This window comes from Homo sapiens, chromosome 11 (genome assembly GCF_000001405.40).
Source record: "Homo sapiens chromosome 11, GRCh38.p14 Primary Assembly".
In the NCBI taxonomy this organism is placed as follows: domain Eukaryota; kingdom Metazoa; phylum Chordata; class Mammalia; order Primates; family Hominidae; genus Homo; species Homo sapiens.
This window is the reverse complement of record NC_000011.10, coordinates 130,067,262-130,084,597: the sequence shown is the minus strand read 5'-3', so window position 1 is coordinate 130,084,597 and position 17,336 is coordinate 130,067,262. Positions and strand designations below refer to the sequence as shown.

The 17,336-nt window shown below is 43.9% G+C and overlaps 1 protein-coding gene, 1 long non-coding RNA gene and 1 pseudogene across 40 annotated transcripts in view, besides 6 other annotated features; 2 read left to right on the top strand and 1 right to left on the bottom strand.

The window, feature by feature from the left end:
• APLP2 (amyloid beta precursor like protein 2) overlaps window positions 1–14,704 on the bottom strand; it is a 74,912-nt gene extending 60,208 nt beyond the window's left edge. For 38 of the 39 annotated variants that reach the window (NR_168391.1, NR_168388.1, NR_168393.1 and 35 more), the window contains exon 1: window positions 14,516–14,704. Coding sequence is in view for 29 of the 39 variants with exons in the window: in NM_001382528.1 (NP_001369457.1) it covers window positions 14,516–14,620 (105 nt within the window). In the remaining 10 variants the exon portion in view is untranslated. Of the gene's footprint in view, window positions 1–13,850; window positions 14,031–14,515 lie in introns of those variants that run through there. The other variant, NM_001243299.2, reaches the window with a different exon arrangement.
• On the top strand, window positions 1,817–2,103 carry RPL34P21 (ribosomal protein L34 pseudogene 21; annotated as a pseudogene).
• Window positions 13,816–14,275: a silencer, noted in NCBI's record as "silent region_4077". NCBI's record gives its function as "represses an Ori minimal core promoter by ATAC-STARR-seq in GM12878 lymphoblastoid cells {active_cell/tissue: GM12878}" and the evidence as "EXISTENCE:reporter gene assay evidence [ECO:0000049][PMID:35858748]".
• Window positions 14,346–14,475: a silencer, noted in NCBI's record as "silent region_4076". NCBI's record gives its function as "represses an Ori minimal core promoter by ATAC-STARR-seq in GM12878 lymphoblastoid cells {active_cell/tissue: GM12878}" and the evidence as "EXISTENCE:reporter gene assay evidence [ECO:0000049][PMID:35858748]".
• Window positions 14,866–15,095: a silencer, noted in NCBI's record as "silent region_4075". NCBI's record gives its function as "represses an Ori minimal core promoter by ATAC-STARR-seq in GM12878 lymphoblastoid cells {active_cell/tissue: GM12878}" and the evidence as "EXISTENCE:reporter gene assay evidence [ECO:0000049][PMID:35858748]".
• Window positions 14,866–15,512: a biological region, named in NCBI's record as "H3K4me1 hESC enhancer GRCh37_chr11:129938981-129939481".
• Window positions 14,949–16,720, top strand: LOC107984432 (uncharacterized). The gene is made up of 2 exons (XR_001748444.2): window positions 14,949–15,134; window positions 15,485–16,720. It is a non-coding gene; the product is annotated as an uncharacterized LOC107984432 (long non-coding RNA).
• Window positions 15,012–15,512: an enhancer, noted in NCBI's record as "H3K4me1 hESC enhancer chr11:129938981-129939481 (GRCh37/hg19 assembly coordinates)". NCBI's record gives its function as "activates a minimal SCP1, AML or CMV promoter by ChIP-STARR-seq in naive H9 embryonic stem cells {active_cell/tissue: H9 hESC(naive)}" and the evidence as "EXISTENCE:reporter gene assay evidence [ECO:0000049][PMID:30033119]".
• Window positions 15,513–16,013: an enhancer, noted in NCBI's record as "H3K4me1 hESC enhancer chr11:129938480-129938980 (GRCh37/hg19 assembly coordinates)". NCBI's record gives its function as "activates a minimal SCP1, AML or CMV promoter by ChIP-STARR-seq in naive H9 embryonic stem cells {active_cell/tissue: H9 hESC(naive)}" and the evidence as "EXISTENCE:reporter gene assay evidence [ECO:0000049][PMID:30033119]".

Genomic DNA, 17,336 nt, shown 5'->3' with positions numbered 1-17,336 from the left:
TTTGGCTCAATGGTTAAGACTGCTGTTTACCAAGGGTGTGTTTAATTTCCACCCATGAAGCCAGCATTACCCTAATAACAAAATAGGATTAAGACACTACAAAAAAAAGAACACTATAAGCCAATATCCCTGATAATCACAGACGCAAAGGATGTCAACAAAATACTAGCAAACTGAATCAGACAACACATTAATAAGATCATACACCTGGATCAAGTGGGATTTATCCCTGGGATGCAAGAATGGTTTAACACATACAAACCAAAAAATGTGGCATATCACATTAACAGAATGAAGGACAAAAATAATATGATACCCTCAAAAGATGCAGAAAAAGCATTTTTTTTTTTTTGAGACGGAGTCTCGCTCTATCGCCCAGGCTGGAGTGCAGTGGTGCAATCTCGGCTCACTGCAAGCTCCACCTCCCAGGTTCACGCCATTCTCCTGCCTCAGCCTCCCGAGTAGCTGGGACTACAGGCACCCGCCACCACGCCTGGCTAATTTTTTGTATTTTTAGTAGAGACAGGGTTTCACCGTGTTAGCCAGGATGGTCTCGATCCCCTGACCTCGTGATCCGCCTGCCTCGGCCTCCCAAAGTGCTGGGATTACAGGCGTGAGGCACCGCGCCCGGCCGAGAAATCGGAACTCCTGTATGCCGCTGGTGAAAAAATGGTGCAGCCACTATAGAAAATAGTATGAAGGTTCTTAAAAAATTAAAAGTAGAATTATCATATGATCTATCAATCTCACACCTGGGTATACAGCAAAAGAATTAAACTCATTATCCCAGACAGATATATGCATTCCCATGTTCACTGCAGAATTACTGACAATAGCCAAGACATGGAAACAACCTAAATGTCCATCGAGAGATGAATGGATAAGGAAAATATGATATATACATAAAATGGAATATTGTTCAGCCTTAAAAAAAATGTAAATTCTGCCACATTCAACAACATGGATGAACCTGGAGGACATTATGCTAAGTAAAATAAACAAGTCACAAAAAGACAAGTACTGCATGATTCCCCTTATATGGGATATCTAACATAATCAAATTCACAGAACTGTCACTGACACAGGCTGAAGGGAGGAAAAAACAGTTGCTATTCAACAGGTATAAAGTTTCCGTTTTGCAAGATGCATAAGTTCTAGAGATTTGCTGTATAACATTTTCTCTACAGTTAACAATACTGCATTGTGCACTTAAAATTTAGATCTCATGTTAAGTGTTCTTACCACAAAAAAAAAATGTTTTAAGGCAGGGCTTGGTGGCCCACACCTGCAATCACAGCACTTGGGGAGGCCAAGGCAGGACTGCTTGAGGCCACGAGTTCAGGACCAGCTTGGGCAAGAGAGCAAGTCCCCATCTCCACAAAAAAAATGTTTAATTACCCAGGCATGATGGCTCAACGCCTGTGATCCCAGCTACTTGGGAGGCTGAGGTGGGAGAGTCATTTGAGCCCAGGAGGTTGAAGCTCTAGTGAGCTATGATTGTGCCACTGCACTCTGGCCTGGACAACAGTGTGAGACCGTGTCTCAAAAAAAAAAAAAAAAAAAAAAAAAAAGAAAAGAAAAGTTTCAGTGGTTAATATATTTTGTTATGTACATTTTACCATATACACAAAAAGATCTGTGGACTTTAGGCTGTTCAATTTAGAAAATGCTTATGTCTTGTGGCTGACATGTGTAAAACATCTGGAAGGAAACACTATAAATCAGTAAGAAAACAGATAACCTAGATTTTAAAAATCTGTATATGAAAAGCTTCCCCCCTCTCTCTTTCTGGGGATGCTGTCTATAGGCAATGAGTCTGACATACTGTCACAGGCTTTCCTACAATACAGCCTCTAACAAAACTAGGCTGTCCCAAATGCACCAACACCTGCAGTGGCGTGTGCCCAGGCTGACTTAGAGGGCTTCATGCTGGGAGACCAGGAGTTCTTATGAGGTTATTCAAAACAAAACACATGGCATCGGGGCCTACAGTGGTTCCATTTGTTTTGTGTTTGTGACCAGATCAAACGTGCTTTCCTTATTGAGAAGCAGAAAATCAGTGTGAAAGTATTAAAAGCACAAGCACAGAGTCAGAAAATTAAATTAAAAACTGAGACCGGATGAGGTGGCTCACGCCTGTAATCCCAGCACTTTGGGAGGCCGAGGCGGGTGGATCACCTGAGGTCAAGAGTTCAAGACCAGCCTGGCCAACATGGTGAAACCCCGTCTCTACTAAAAATACAAAAATCAGCTGGGCGTGATGGCGGGCACCTGTAATCCCAGCTGCTCAGGAGGCTGAGGCAGGAGAATCGCTTGAACCTGGGAGGCAGAGGTTGTAGTGAGCCAAAATCGTGCCACTGTACTCCAGCCTGGGCGACAAGAGCAGAACTCCACCTCAGAAACAAACAAAAAAAAAAATGAAGTTTTGAGTAATAAAAATTAAAAGGCTAAATTAATAAAATCTGTATGAGAAGACTGGAAAAGTGTTGACTACCATCTCTCCAACAGAAGAAGTTTCTAGTTATTATATCATCTTAAGAACCATACAGTGCCTTCAGCTATGGTGTTATTTGTTCTGTCACGGTGCCCTACATATGGCAATTCCATAAATGTTTGCTAATAATGATGACTATGAAAAGCCTCAAACGAACCAATTACCATAAAGTCTTCCATTTTAGATCAAGTCCTTTCCAGAGGTTCTTTTAAATGCCAATTTGGGATATAGCTACAATGATTTTTTTTTAAAAGATATCCACAGTATGCTGTTTACATTAGAGAAGAATGAGAAACATACATGTTCAGTTATAAAAGAATCAAATAAATTACAAAATAGGCAGTCCTCTACTTTCACATAAGGTATATTTCTGTAAACATGAACAAGTTACAAACATATGCATGTTATTTGGGGATTCTGCTACTAGCAAGCTAATAATTTATCAGATCCCAATTACTTCCAGTGTTTTAGGGGGGAAAACACCCTTGAAAATTTCCAGCATTTTATAGGCATTCCTTAATTTTTTTCCACATAATTGAACCCACTGAGCATTTATATAAGTTCAAAGAAACTACCTAGAAAAACACCAAAAAAGCACCAGTTATCACCATGTGCTTATCAATAAAATAAACATTTTCCCTCCTTTTTATCACCCTTATAAAATGAGGGTAAAATAGTCAAGTAACAGTTCAATACTACTGCAAATATCCAATCACTGGCTAGTAGGCAACATCCCTATGCAATAACTCAAAATGTTCATACAATAGTTTAGTTACTCAAATCCAAATTCACAGCATGAATACCTATTTAGAGGGATGAATGTTGTACATTTAAAATTGCAGAGTGTTCAAAAGCCCCAAACCATCAAGTGTGATCCCAAAAAAAGCTATACACGTTACAAAATATGTAATGACCTGGAAATTATTCAATATGTTAAATGAAGGAAAAAACGGGTTATACACACATAAGGGGGAATCTACTCTTTTGTTTTTGGGGGGGTTTGTTTTTTGTTTTGGTCAAAACTGTATTTTCTAAATTTTTTGTAATAACTTGGAGAACTTAAAGGTTTGGAGTTTGTAGCTCAAAGCATATGAATCTAGAAAGATAAATCCAACGACCGGACGTGGTGGCTCACGCCTGTAATCCCAGCACTTTGGGAGGCCGAGGCAGGTGGATCAGGAGATTGAGACCATCCTGGCTAACACAGTGAAACCCCATCTCTACTAAAAATTAAAAAAAATTAGCCAGGCACGGTGGCGGGCACCTGTAGTCCCAGCTACTTGGGAGGCTGAGTCAGGAGAATGGCGTGAACCCGGGAGGCGGAGCTTGCAGTGAGCCGAGATCACGCCACTGCACTCCAGCCTGGGCAACAAAGCAAGACTCCATCTCAAAAAAAAAAAAAAAAAGAAAGATAAATCAGAAACTGACAGGACTCCACAGAGTTCAGCTTACAGTCATCACAGTCCAGGAACTTACAGTAAGATCCTGGATTGCTAGTGTCCTCAGGCTCCAGGTAGAATGAAAATTTTTGTCTGGAACACACATTAGCCTAGACCTCAAATTAATCAGTCTGTAAGCACCTGTATAAATAAAATGTCTGGCCGGGCACGGTGGCTCATGCCTGTAATCCTAGCACTTTGGGAGGCCAAGGTGGGTGGATCACTTGAGGTCAGGAGTTTGAGACCAGCCTGGCCAACATGGTGAAACCCCATCTCAACTAAAAATACAAAAATTAGCCAGGCATGGTGGCTGGCGCCTGTAATCCCAGCTACTCAGGAGGCTGAGGCAGGAGGCACCTGAACCCAGGAGGCAAAGGTTGAGACAAGACCACACCACTGCACTCCAGCCTGGTCAACAGGGTAAGATTCCGTCTCAAAAAATTATAATAGTAATAAAGGCAATGCTCTCTTCCCCCAAAACTTAGGAGGCTATTAACTTTGAAATCAGAACTTGACAAGTATATTACAAAAAGAGAAAAATTACAGGTCAAACTCACTTATTAGCAAAGAGGCAAAACTCCTGAACAAAATTTTTGCAAACCAAATGCAGAAAATAAACCAAGTTTGGTTCATTTCAGGAATGCAAAGTTTCCTACATACTGCACTCTCAAAATTAAATTCATATCATCATCTTATACTTGGCAAAAAAAGATGTTTGAAAAAAACTCAACATTCATTCATGACAAGAATCTTTGGCAAACTTAGAATATAAACTCTTCCTTATCCGATAAAGGGTCTGGTATCTACCAAAAAACTACGAGTATCATATAAATTGCAAAAACAGTTTCCCTCTGAGAGAAGTCAGACTAAGACACTAGCTATTGTCTTTTCTATCTGAACATTTTAGCTGGGGCAGCAAAGCAAGAAAAAGAAATAAAAGTTACAAGGATTGAATGGAAAGAAATAGAACTGTCACAATTCACAGAATATACTCAGAAAAATTTAAAGTTACAGATAAATTATTATAATTAGTATACATGTTTAGCAAGATTACTGGATACAAGGTCAATCTGAAAAATATCAATTGTATTTTTCACAAACACACAAACCAACAACAAAAAATCTTAAAGATGCCATTTATAATAGCATAAAAAAGATCAAATGACTATGAATAAATCTAACAAAAGATACACAAGATCTCTATGCAGAAATCTACCAAACATTGAAGGCAGAATTATAGAGGGCCTAAATAAAACACATGTCATGGGCCGGGCGTAGTGGCTCACACCTATAATCTCAGCACTTTGGTAGGCCAAGGCGGGAGGATCATCTGAGGTCAGGAGTTTGAGACCAGCCTGACCAACATGGTGAAACCCCATCTCTACTATAAATACAAAAATTAGCCTGGCATGGTGGTGGGTGCCTGTAATCCCAGCTACTCAGAAGGCTGAGGCAGAAGAATCGCTTGAACCCGGGAGACAAAGGTTGCAGTGAGCAGAGACTGCACCACTGCACTCCAGCCTGGGTGACAGAGCAACAACCTGTCTCAAAAATAAATAAATAAATAAATAAATAAATAAAAAAAATACATGTCATGTTCCCGGATTGGAAAACTAGGTATTTGAAAAATGTCAATTTTCCCCCAATTAAACTATAGACCCAAAGCAAAAGCAAAATTCTAACAAGAAGCTGTTTTGGTAAAATGTGGCAAATTTATGTGAAAAGAAAAAGGTTAAGGGAAGAGCTAAGATGCTATTCAAGACAAGCAAGGAAGGGCTTGATCTAGTAAATATAAAATCTTATTATATAATAATTAAGACAATGTGGAGTTGGTGCAAGGATAAACAAAGAGAACAATGGAATAGAAGGGAGAACCCAGGAACAGATTCACGCACAGGGAGATACTTGATTACAAGGGTGACAGAGCCGAGCAGAAGGGAAAGGATGACCTTGACAATAAATGGTGCAGGCCAGATATCCATAAGGAAAAAAACAGAAATGAAATGGCCCTTAACTTCACCTCTACACAAAAATCCAGATAAATTATAGCTCCAAAAGCGAAAGGCAAAAAAATAAAGTTCCCCATTGACAATATAGGAGACTATCGTTATATCCTCAGGGTAGGAAAAGACTTCTCAAACAGGATACAAAAAGCACCTACCATAACAAAAAAAGAAAAAGAAAAGACAAGACTAAAAAATTAGACATTAAAATTAAGAACTTCTTCAAAAGACATCACTAAGAGTGAAAAGGCAAACCACACAGAGAACAGCATTATCTTAATAACCTCAAAGTGGAAACAACTCAAACGTCCATCAACAGCAGAACAAACTGCGTGGTTTATTCATATAATGGAGTACTATGCAGCAACGGAAATGAGTGAGCCACAGCTACACTCAATACACGTGGCTGTCAAAAATGTGTCTAGTGAATGAGACCAAATGCATAAAAATATATACGGAATGATTCCACTTATATGAAGCTAAAAAAAAAAAAAAAGAAAGAAAAACTGAACTACAGTGTTTAGGGACGAATGCATGGGAGGTAATACTATAAGGAAATACAAAAAGTGATACCATAAAGTCAGAGGAGCAGTTACTCCTGAGCAAGGAAGGAAAGGAGATACTGGCCATGTTTTATTTCTTGACCTCAGTGGTAGTTACACAAGTGTTTCATTTACAAAAACACACTGAGCTTTTTTTTTCTTTTGTGTACTTTTAAATTTTGAAAAGCTCAAAAATACTCAAGGGCTTTCAATAGTGGGTAGAAGCAGCAAGGGTGGCTGGCACTTTCCTGATAAGGGGCTATCTTTACTTTCAGCTCAAACAGCTTGACATTCTTACCTTCTAAAATCATCACAGTATGCACAAATAATTAACACTATGTGTTGATAAATATGTGTTACAACTCTAATAACAGCCTAAGCAAATGTAATGAAAATATGAATGGAAATGTAAATTCCTAACTCAAGAGTTACTTCTGGAAAGTTCAAATGAGGCTTTTATTGGTAATGTTATATTTCCGTATCCAGTGGTTTTTTGTTTTTTTTTTTAAGGCTAAAACATACATGAGAAATGTTAAGATTCAACAAAACTGGGGGCTGGACATAAGGGTCTGTTTTACATGTTTAACTATCCTATGTGGGGAATGCTCATAATTAAAGAGAGTAAAATAAAAGCTCTAATAGTTCACCTCTCCGGGTAAAAAGCCTGCTTCAGCCTAAGCAAGTTACATGCTTAGCCTTCCAGAGACAAAGCATAAAATATGTGAAAATACTAACGATCCTTACTACCACCACTAATGTCACATTTTCTTATCTAGGCGAAATATCTCCCTCACAGTCCACTCACCTGTCATGTCAAATTTTTCACATTCTTCACCATTCCAGCCATTCTCTTCTGGATAGCATTATCCCTTTAAAATGATAGCATTATCCCAGATCTAACAAACGCATTGTGATGTCTCAGATGTCTCCATTTTGCCAGCTAACTTTTAACCCACAGATAATTTCTTCAGAAGAAATTACTTCTTTCTCTTTCAGCCATCCCAGCTACATAACTTCCCAGACAGGGAATGCCCCTGTAGCAGACACTGGGTTCTCACCAACATCCACAGCTTTCTTTTCCAACCAAGCCCAACTTTTTCTTTTTAGTAAGAGGTATCACCATCTGATAAGCCCAACCTGATTAGAGGCTGCACCCTCCTCCTCCTGGCCACATGCTTCCAAAAGCAGGCCCTGAGAAGTCAAAGCCTGTGGAGGCAGTACCATTCCCCTTGCCAAGGCTTGCTTTGGCTAGAAGCATCTGATACACTTCTATCCAGTGACACCTGAGGGGTCTTATGCTGGTGGGCTTTGAGAAAGGTTTCTTCACTCTTAAAAGGAGATATACAGGAAGAGACTATCTCTTCCTCCTCTGGACATTATCCTATCAGAGCATGTCCCCTGGAGTTAATTCCACAACCACTGGGGAGTGTGCCCAAGGAAGGCAGGGTAGGAAGGCGGTGGGGACAGCTCAATTAAGCAACCTTTTAGGTGCCCCACTCCACACACGAAGTAGTTTTTTTCTGGACCACAATCTTACCCCCATCACACTGGTCACTGGCCACTGATTGAGTATCTGGTGCTGGCAGCCTTCTCTCTTCCAAATAATCCCGCACCTTGATTTTGATAAAAATCTCTACAGGGAACCGTAACTTCTTTTCTTAAAACTTTAGGTCAGAATACAAAAATGACACAACTTACTACTAAAAAAAGAGAACTTGCACATAATATAAAAAGACACAAAAGAGCTGGGCCCGCAGTGGCTCATGCCTGTAATCCCAGCACTTTGGGAGGCTGAGGCGGCTGGATCGCTTGAGGTCAGGAGTTCGAGACCAGCCTGGCCAACATGGTGAAACCTTGTCTCTACTAAAAATATAAAAATTAGCCGGGCATGGTGGCGCACACCTGTAATCCCAGCTACTCAGGAGGATGAGGCACGAGAATCGCTTGAACCCAGGAGGCGGAAGTTGCAGTGAGCCAAGATGGCACCACTGCACTCCAGCCTGGATGACAGAGTGAGACTCGGTCTCAAAACAAACAAACAGAAAGGCCCAAAAAGTTTTTAAAAATCAGTGAATATCATTTGAATGATGCGAAAGAAAAAAATAAATCAATGGAAAATGTAAAACATCAAAGTCCCCTGTAATTACATACTTCAAAGGGTCACTATTAACCATATGGTTTACAATGGTTCATAATATATCACAACTTGTATGAAATTAGTTCCTTTTAAGGGAAACACTCATACCAGGTTTTGGTAATGGGAAAGACAGGTAGACATGAGTAAAAAGAAATCTGCATCCAAAAGGGAAATATGAACCACACTGACAGGACAGAGCAGTAGGCTTAGATAGGATGGGCAGACTCCTTCCCCTGGTCGAGCTGGGTGATGTTCAACCCTCGGCCTCTACTGACTCCCTTTTTAGGTAGGGATAAGAATACCAAATTCACGAGACTGTTAGGGACTTATGGAGATAAATTACCCAAAGACTTTGTTTTGTTTTTCTCTCCTTGCACATTAGAATCATCCGGGGAGCTTTTGAAACTGAGCATCCCAGAGGTACTCAACGACAATCTCTGGGGTTAGGGCCTAGAAATCATACACGAGTGTGTTTCGCAAAGTAAAAAGCACTATCCACATTTGGTTTTACTACTGTACTGTTTAGCATCTAGCACAGAACCATGTAACAGGTTTAATAAATACTAGTAGGATGAATTACAAATGAAAGTCAGCTAATTTTCTAATCTTCATCTTTAAAAAAATAGATTAGTTATGTTTTAAAAGATCTCATTTTGAAAAACAGATCTTGGCCGAATGTGGTGGTATGCACTGTACTCCTAGATACTCGGGAGGCTGAGGCAGGAGGATCACTTGAGCCCAGGAGTTTGAGGCCGCAGTGAGCCATGGCTGCGCCACTGCACTCCAGCCTTGGTAAGAGTGAGACCCTGTCTCAAAAAATAAAAAATAAAAATAAAGACTTCACGATGCTTAGGTAAGAAAAATTCCCTCAGCAAAAGCAATTATTAGTTGTACTTGACACAAAGGACTGGAACTCATTTCTGCTTGAATGTGCCTACATAGTCCACTTTCCATCTTAGGCCATAAATCAAGGTACAATACACTAAATTTAATTAAACTTCAAGGTAATCTAGTTTATCTCATTAAAAATCAACCCATGAAAATTGAATTATAGGCAATTTAGAATTCTCTCTCAACTGGCCCCTCCATGGAAACTACAATTACTGTACAAAGATTTACCCCTACTTTTTGTCACACGGAAAACATTATTTTCTTTGAGTAGTTCATGTTAGCATAATTCGAAATAATCATTGTTAGGTGCTGGCTTCAATATGCAGTATGTGCCATTTTTATAAAATTTATGTACATGACCTATCTATTAACAGAAGGGTATATACAATATTACAGTAAGGTTTCCCTGGGGAATAAGATTTTAGGTCATTTTTCACTTCTTATTGGTTATCTGTACTTTTAAATTTCTTACAATGAATATGTACTACCTATAGAATTCTTCTTCTGTTATTTTAGAAAGAAAATCCAAAAGCCTCAAAATTTAGTAAGGGTAAACAGAATTAAACAATCTTGAAAGGGGCCAGGTGTGGAGGCTCACGCCTGTAATCCCAGCACTTTGGAAGGCCAAGGCAGGCAGATCACAAGGTCAGAAGTTTGGAACCAGCCTGGCCAATATGGTGAAACCCTGTCTCTACTAAAAATATAAAAATGAGCCAGGCATGGTGGTGGGCTCCTGTAGTCCCAGCTACTCTGGAGGCTGAGGCAGGAGAGTCGCTTGAACCTGAAAAACGGAGGTTGCAGTAAGCCGAGATCATGCCAGTGCACTCCAGCCTGGGCGACAGAGTGAGACTCCAACTCAAAAAAGAAAAACAAAACAACAACAACAACAACAAAACATGTTTTCAAATGCTATAAAGAACATGATTGGGTCAACAAACTAACTAGAAAACCGACAGCAGATAAGATCCAAGTATTGTATCAATGTTAAATTTCATTAGGTTGATGGCTGTACTAAGCCTATGTAAGACAATGTCTTTGGCTCTTAGAAAATATATACTGAAGTTCTCAGGGGTAAAGGGGATGGGGGACGACGTATGCAACTTACTCTCAAATAATTTGGCAAAAAATGCAGTAGTAAAGCAAATGTGACTAGAAGAAATGTTAACAATTGGTGAATCTGAGTAAAGGGTAAGAAAATTGTACAATTTTTGCATTTTTTATAAGATTAAAGTTATTTCTTTTTTTTATTCTTGTTTTCTTGAGATGGAGTCTCGCTCTGTTGCCCAGGCTGGAGTGCAGTGGTGTGATCTCGGCTCACTGTAACCTCCACCTCCCAGATTCTCCTGCCTCAGCCTCCTGAGTAGCTGGGATTACAGGCGCACGCCATCTCGCCCAGCTAATTTTTGTATTTTTAGTAGAGACGGAGTTTCACCATGTTGCTCAGGCTGGTCTCGAACTCCTGACCTCGTGATCCACCCACCTCGGCCTCCCAAAGTGCTAGGATTACAGGCGTGAGCCACCGCGCCTGGTGATTAAAGTTATTTCTAAGTAAAACATTTTTAATTGAAAAAGTTTAAAAATCAACACATTCAAAATTGTTCTAACAAAAATACTTAAGAGCATGTTGGGCCAACTTCCAGCAAGACTTTATGTGGAAAAATATAGGAACATATTAAAAAATTCTGCTAATAAAAACATATGCAGGACCAACTTTAAGCAAAATTTTAAATCAGCACCATCTAACAGAAATACAATGTGAGCCACATACATAGTATTAAATTTTCTAGGAACCATATTAGAGTGAAAAGAAACAAGTGAAATTAATTTTAATGTTTTATTTAGCCCATGTCTAAAGTATTGTTTCAATTTAGTCAATACAAAAATTGAGATTTTAATTCTTCTGTATTAAATCTTCAAAATCTGATGTGTATGTTACACTTCCAGTACATCTCAATTCAGAAGCTAAATTTTCATAGGAAATACTTGATCTACATTTAGATTTCATAAAATGTACAGTTTAAAAGTAAATTCGCATAACCAAATTATTTCAGTTAAAAGTTTTCCAACCACTGAATCAGATTTTAAATGTAAACTTAAATTAATTAAAATTAAATAAAATGAAAAATTCACTCCTCATTCACACTAGTCACCCTACAGACTCAATAACCACATGTGGCTTGTGGCTACACCCTGGGAAAGCCTGGCTTTAGATGGTAAAACAAATTCCCTCTACAAAAGGAGGAACTAATTGATAAAACTGAAGTTTATCGTATTTATCAAAAGATTTTTAAAACATAGTTATGATAAAAATAACGGGCCGGGCGCTGTGGCTCACGCCTGTAATCCCAGCACTTTGGGAGGCCGAGGCAGGTGGATCACCTGAGATCAGGTGTTCCAGACCAGCCTGGCCAACATGGTGAAACCCTGTCTCTACTAAAAATACAAAAATTAGCTGGGCGTGGTGGCAGGCGCCTGCAATCCCAGCTACTTGGGAGTCTGAGGCAGGAGAATCGCTTGAACTCGGAAGGCGGAAGTTGCAGTGAGCCCAGAGATCCCACCATTGCACTCCAGCCTGGGACAGAGCGAGACTCCGTATCAAAAAAAAAAAAAAAAAAAAGACGATATTCCTATCAGAAGCACACCAAGGTTTCTCTCCAAGGTACAATTACACATCTCCCATACCACCTGTCAGAAACACCAACACAAAGCCTTCTCTACTCTGCCTCAGTTGACATCCTTTAATTTGGGTTTGAGTTTCCAGAAAACTGGCAATCAAATGGCCTTCTTTCTTTCAAATGTGACAGAACAAACTCAAGTTCCGGTTCTCAGGAGCCTAGTCATCCACTGCACAGTATGCGGGGTTTCAGCACAATACTGTCTCAGTCCCAAATGGGAGCATGCACACAGGAGAACTTGTCTCGGATTTAAGAGAGGAAGTGACCCTGAGTCCAGAGGTGAGCTTTTTCTTTTTAAACAGGTGTAAGAGATTAATTCAGTCAACACCAAGCAACACTAAAGATTTGCCAATCAATAATTCTGTGCCAAGCAACTTGATCAGGGATTTGGCCAGAATCCCTTTCGCTAATCTCAATCAGGGCCTTCCCAAAGACATCCTGATTTAGGCCACTCTCATCTAAATTAAGCTTCGACAGTCCCTTGCCTGACAGCAAATAAACAAAATCAAATTATATTCATATGAATAAAATTCTGATAGCTTGACAAAAGGCCCCTTGAAAGATCATTTAGTAAGTGTGAGCAAAAATACAGCTCCAAAGAACAGGAGTTACCATAAAACCATTTTTCAGAAATGTTTAATTCCTACTTTCTTCAACCATACTTTTCAACTGAACAACGCTGTGGCTAACAATCAAATTTAACACACAACAATGAATTCTCATATTATTTTTTCCCGCTACACAAGTATTAACGAATTCTTTAAAACTGCTGAGTCTTCTACTGTGAATTCACTAATGCCTCAAATTAGTCATAGCAGTGGGAAGTGGAGTGCGAGTGTGAACGATGGTTTCTGACACCCGACCCACTAGTGAAGTCCCATCTTCCATACGAAAGCCTTTATTTTTTCTTCCCATCTCACTCACCTAGCTGTTTTCATGCGACATATCAGGGATCACAGATACAACTCTGACCATTGTGTGGACACACTGAAACAATCGCAATCCAAAATCCTCTGTAGATAAACGTTAACTATTTCTCTTTAAAGCTGAACTCCTTTCTTACCCTCACAGTCACAAAGCTTTAAACTGGATGAATACAAAGGTGTTAAGCCGTTCCATCAGAGAGGCTTTTTATTAGATTTATTTTTACCCGTGGAAATACTTGAACATTCTGTAGAAGTAAATATATTCTAAACCTGAGGTCTTTAAAAGAAAGCTCTCAATTAATGCCCAATCAAATCCAGTCTTCAGGTCTCTCTGAAATTAGCTAAGTATGCAGAAACCAGTTGTAATTTTTAAAAGAGCGAAGAGGGAGAAGAAATAAACGACACCAGAACTACACATTCCAGACCAGCAGTTCAAGCACCACTTCGAGAAGGGAAGTAAAGATCAAGCTCGCCGTCTCCCTCGGCCACAGCAGGGCTCCTCCAAGGCTGCCCGCTCCGGCCCGCACCGCGGACCCCGCCGCCCCCGCCCCCTCCCGCGGCCTCCCCAACCCCCGGCCCTGCCGCTTCGCCTTTCTCGCAGCGGGGATGCTCAGGGTGCGACCTCGAAGCACAACCACTGATGGAATTCTGACACCCGAAGAGGACGATTTTTCCAACAGTTTACACGCCTTCGCGGGCACCTTCCCTACTCACTGAAACCCTCACGAAAGCGGTCAACGCACCCAGAGCGGGTTTCCTCGGTCTACGGACGCAGGCAAACAGCGCCACTTAAAAAATGCGCGTCCGCGACCCGGCCCCAGGCGGCAGAGGGAGCAGCGGGCGGCCTGGCGCGGGAGCTCCCCCGGGGCTCGCAGCATCCCTGCCGCGCGCGAAGGCCGGGGCCGCGTCCACCTGGCAACAAAGGCGAAGCCCGCCGCTCGCAGGTGGGAGGCCCGGAGCCGAGGCCCCGGTGCCGCGCGAGGGAGCGTACGGGGTCCGCGCGGGGCCGCCCCTGGAGAAAGCCCAGCCGCGGACTCCGGCGGGAGAGGAGCGCCCTGGCATTGTCCCGGGGGAGGGCGGGGCGGGCGCCCGGGGGCACTGGGTCCCCGGAGGAGGTGGCGGCGCCGCGGGCGGGTTGGGGGCTGGGTCGGCCGAGGCGGACGGCCGCCCCCAGCAGCCCCGACGCCTTTCATTTGGCCTCTGCGGCGGCTGAGGCAGCCCGACCTCCAGCGCTAAGCACTGCGCCAAGCAGGGACGGGCGGGGGAGGGCGCGCCAGACCCGCCGCAGAGCCGGACCCCCGGCGCCGCACCGCCGGCCCGCCCTGCCGCGGACCCCGCTGCCCGCCCGCAGTCCGCGCTCCTCCGGCGGGCGAAGGAGACGACTCTCCGGCGTTCGCCCGGTCCCCACCTCGATGTAGCCGGCCAGCGCCAAGGCAGGCGCCGTGAGCCCCACCAGCAGCAGAAGCAGGAGCCTGCCCGTGGCTGCGGCGGCCGCGGTCCCGGTGGCCGCCATCCCTCGCCGGGTCGCTCTAGCGCGCGGCTCTCAAGCTCACACACTCGGACTCCTCGCTTAGCACACCGCGACCCAGAAGCATCTAAAGCCAGTTCGCCGCCGCCCCGGGGGTTTTACACCAACCGGAACTGACTTCATATTACCACGCCCTCCTTCTGCGGCTCCCAATGCCGGCCCGCAGAACCCCTCAAGACCCCGCCCCCTTGCGGTCCAGACCCAATCAGGAGATGGAAGAGCCTGCTCCTCCCGCCCGGTCCAACCGCGCGCCCCCCGCCCGGCCCCGCCCCCGGCCGCGGATGGCCCCGCCCCCGCTCCGGACCCTGTGGCCGCCAGGCGCGGGGGCGTGCGCGCGGCGGGTCTGGGGCCGCAACCCTGTGGGCGCGGGGCTGGCTCTGGCCTCCGCCCCCCGGCGCGGTTATCTGTCCCTGCTGCGCTGGTCCGTCAGCCTTCAGCCTCCCGATACGGGCACGCCCCGCTCCCCTGCCCCTGCTGGGCATTCTTCAGACTCCTTTGGGTACCGCCCTCTTTTTGATTCTGGAAATGGTTTTATTAAAAACAGGATGAATTAGGAGTCCGGGACGGTCTGCCAAGGGCCGTCCCCCGAGGCAGGGGGAGGACCGCAGGAGGCAGCCATCGTCCTCCCCCGAGCCCTACTCAGGGCGCGCCTCTCCCGCCCTGCTCCGCCCAGGCCTCTCCGCCGGGTCCTCGCCTCTGAGTCCGGCCGCGCTCCGCACCCTTGGCCTCCGGTCTTTAGGCCTCTTGCCGACCCTTCCTTCCCAGCAGTTGCCCAGGCAGGGATAGAGACCAGGGGTGCAAGAACCACGCCGGCCTCACAGCCCAGGCCCCCTTCCTCGTGTGTTTTAGGAAGAGATCACGCCGCTTCTTCGGTTGAGACGCACTAGCGGGAGACCTGCTACTCTGCCTTCCTGCTCCGCGGCATTGCCACTTCAGTAGAGAAAAACGTCCTGCTGCCCCATTTAGCAATTGGCACAGCCTCGCCACCGCCAGGGCTCCGCTGGCCTTGTTTCCTTTCAGTCGCCTGTGAGTTAGGTACTGCCTTCTGAGAGACCTGGACTAGTCCCTTCAGGTTCAACTAAATGCATAACACAACCCTACCCCCAGGACGCTGACAATAGAAAGGAAGAGACTGTCCGCGGAGTAGACGAGTGCGCCTGTAAGAACTCGGGATTTTCCAGCCTTATTCTGCACCACTCTCCCCTACATGCCCAGTTCCCTGTGGGTAAACTGGCTCTGCCCGATTCCTCCAAGACGACACCTTTCCATTTCACAGCCCTTCCTAACACTCTTCTGCGCCTGCAATGTCCTCTCCCCAACATCTGCCTGTTGGAAGCGTTTTCACTGTTCCTCGGCTCAGTCGGCTGAAATATCGCTTCTGATTGCTCAGAGGGATGTTTCCCACTGTGGCACTCGCTCCCTAGTTATTCCATACCTCTCTCAGGTCACTGACAAGACTTGGGTCTGTCATGCCGCAGTGCCCCTCACAGTGCAGTCCTCGATAAATGTTTGCCCAGTGTTATTGAACCCAGTTATCTTGGGTGCTGATACTAGTTCTGGAACTGGCATGAATTTGGCTCTTGCTATGGACCGAATTTTGTCCCCACCCCTAATGTGTGTGCCGAAGCGCTGAACCCCAGTGTGATGGTTATTTGTAAATGGGGCCTTTGGGAGGTAATCGGATTTGGATGAGGTCATGGAGGTAGCAGGTCATGATGGGATGAGTGCCTTTATTAGGAGAGACACCAAAGAGCTTGCTTTTCTCTCACACTCTCTGTCCCCTACCCCCAACCTCAGCCCTCACCTCCCTCCTCCATGTGCGAACACAGCAAGAAGGCCGCCATCTGCAAACCAGGAAGAGGTCCATCACTGAGGGGCCAAAGTGGCACCTTGAGCTTGGACTTCCCAGGCTTCAAGAACTGTGAAAAATAAATCCCTGTTGTTGAAGCCCCCCAGCCTATGTTATTTTGTTGCAGCAGCCGGAGCTGACTGACACAGCCGCATGATCACCGGCAAGTTCCTCCATCGCTTGGGACTCTCTTTTCTTCTCTGTCAAATGTGAATATTAAAACCTGTCTCACTGCACCGCTTTGTGTGATTGAACTTAAAATGAATGTACAATAGTGAAAAGCATGAAGTGACTTAAATGTAAGGGGTAGGAGGGTAAAGCGATGTATTACTAAGTGCAGGTTCATCTGCAAGTATGTGGGAAAAGTATCAAGTGACTACCTAAATCCTCATTGAGTTGTTGAGCCTAGGGTAGGACATGTAGCCCCTCTGGGGCCTGTTACCTCACCTACAAAATCAGGGCCTTGAACTCAGGGAAAAGCAAGTGAGATATCTGAGTTCAGTGGCGTGGATATTCATGCTTTGGAGACTGTATCTTCAAGACTGAGCTTTAATATCATGGGATAGTACAAGGAAATACAGGAACATAATTTAGAGGGCCTTCAGTCTAAACTTAGGTCTTGAAAGAAGTTTATTTGCATTTTCAAGTTATGGAAGGATCGTTACTAAGAGTTGATAGCCCCATTCATCAACATTCTGTACTTTAAAATGTTATGGTCTTTTTATTAAATGACACTGACAGGAACATACCTGGTCTTGCAATTCTCAATAATTTTTCATTCCAAATATGCTCATGTCAGTGACCAAGGCTTATGAGTAGTATGTTTTCATTTTATTATCTTTTATGCATAAA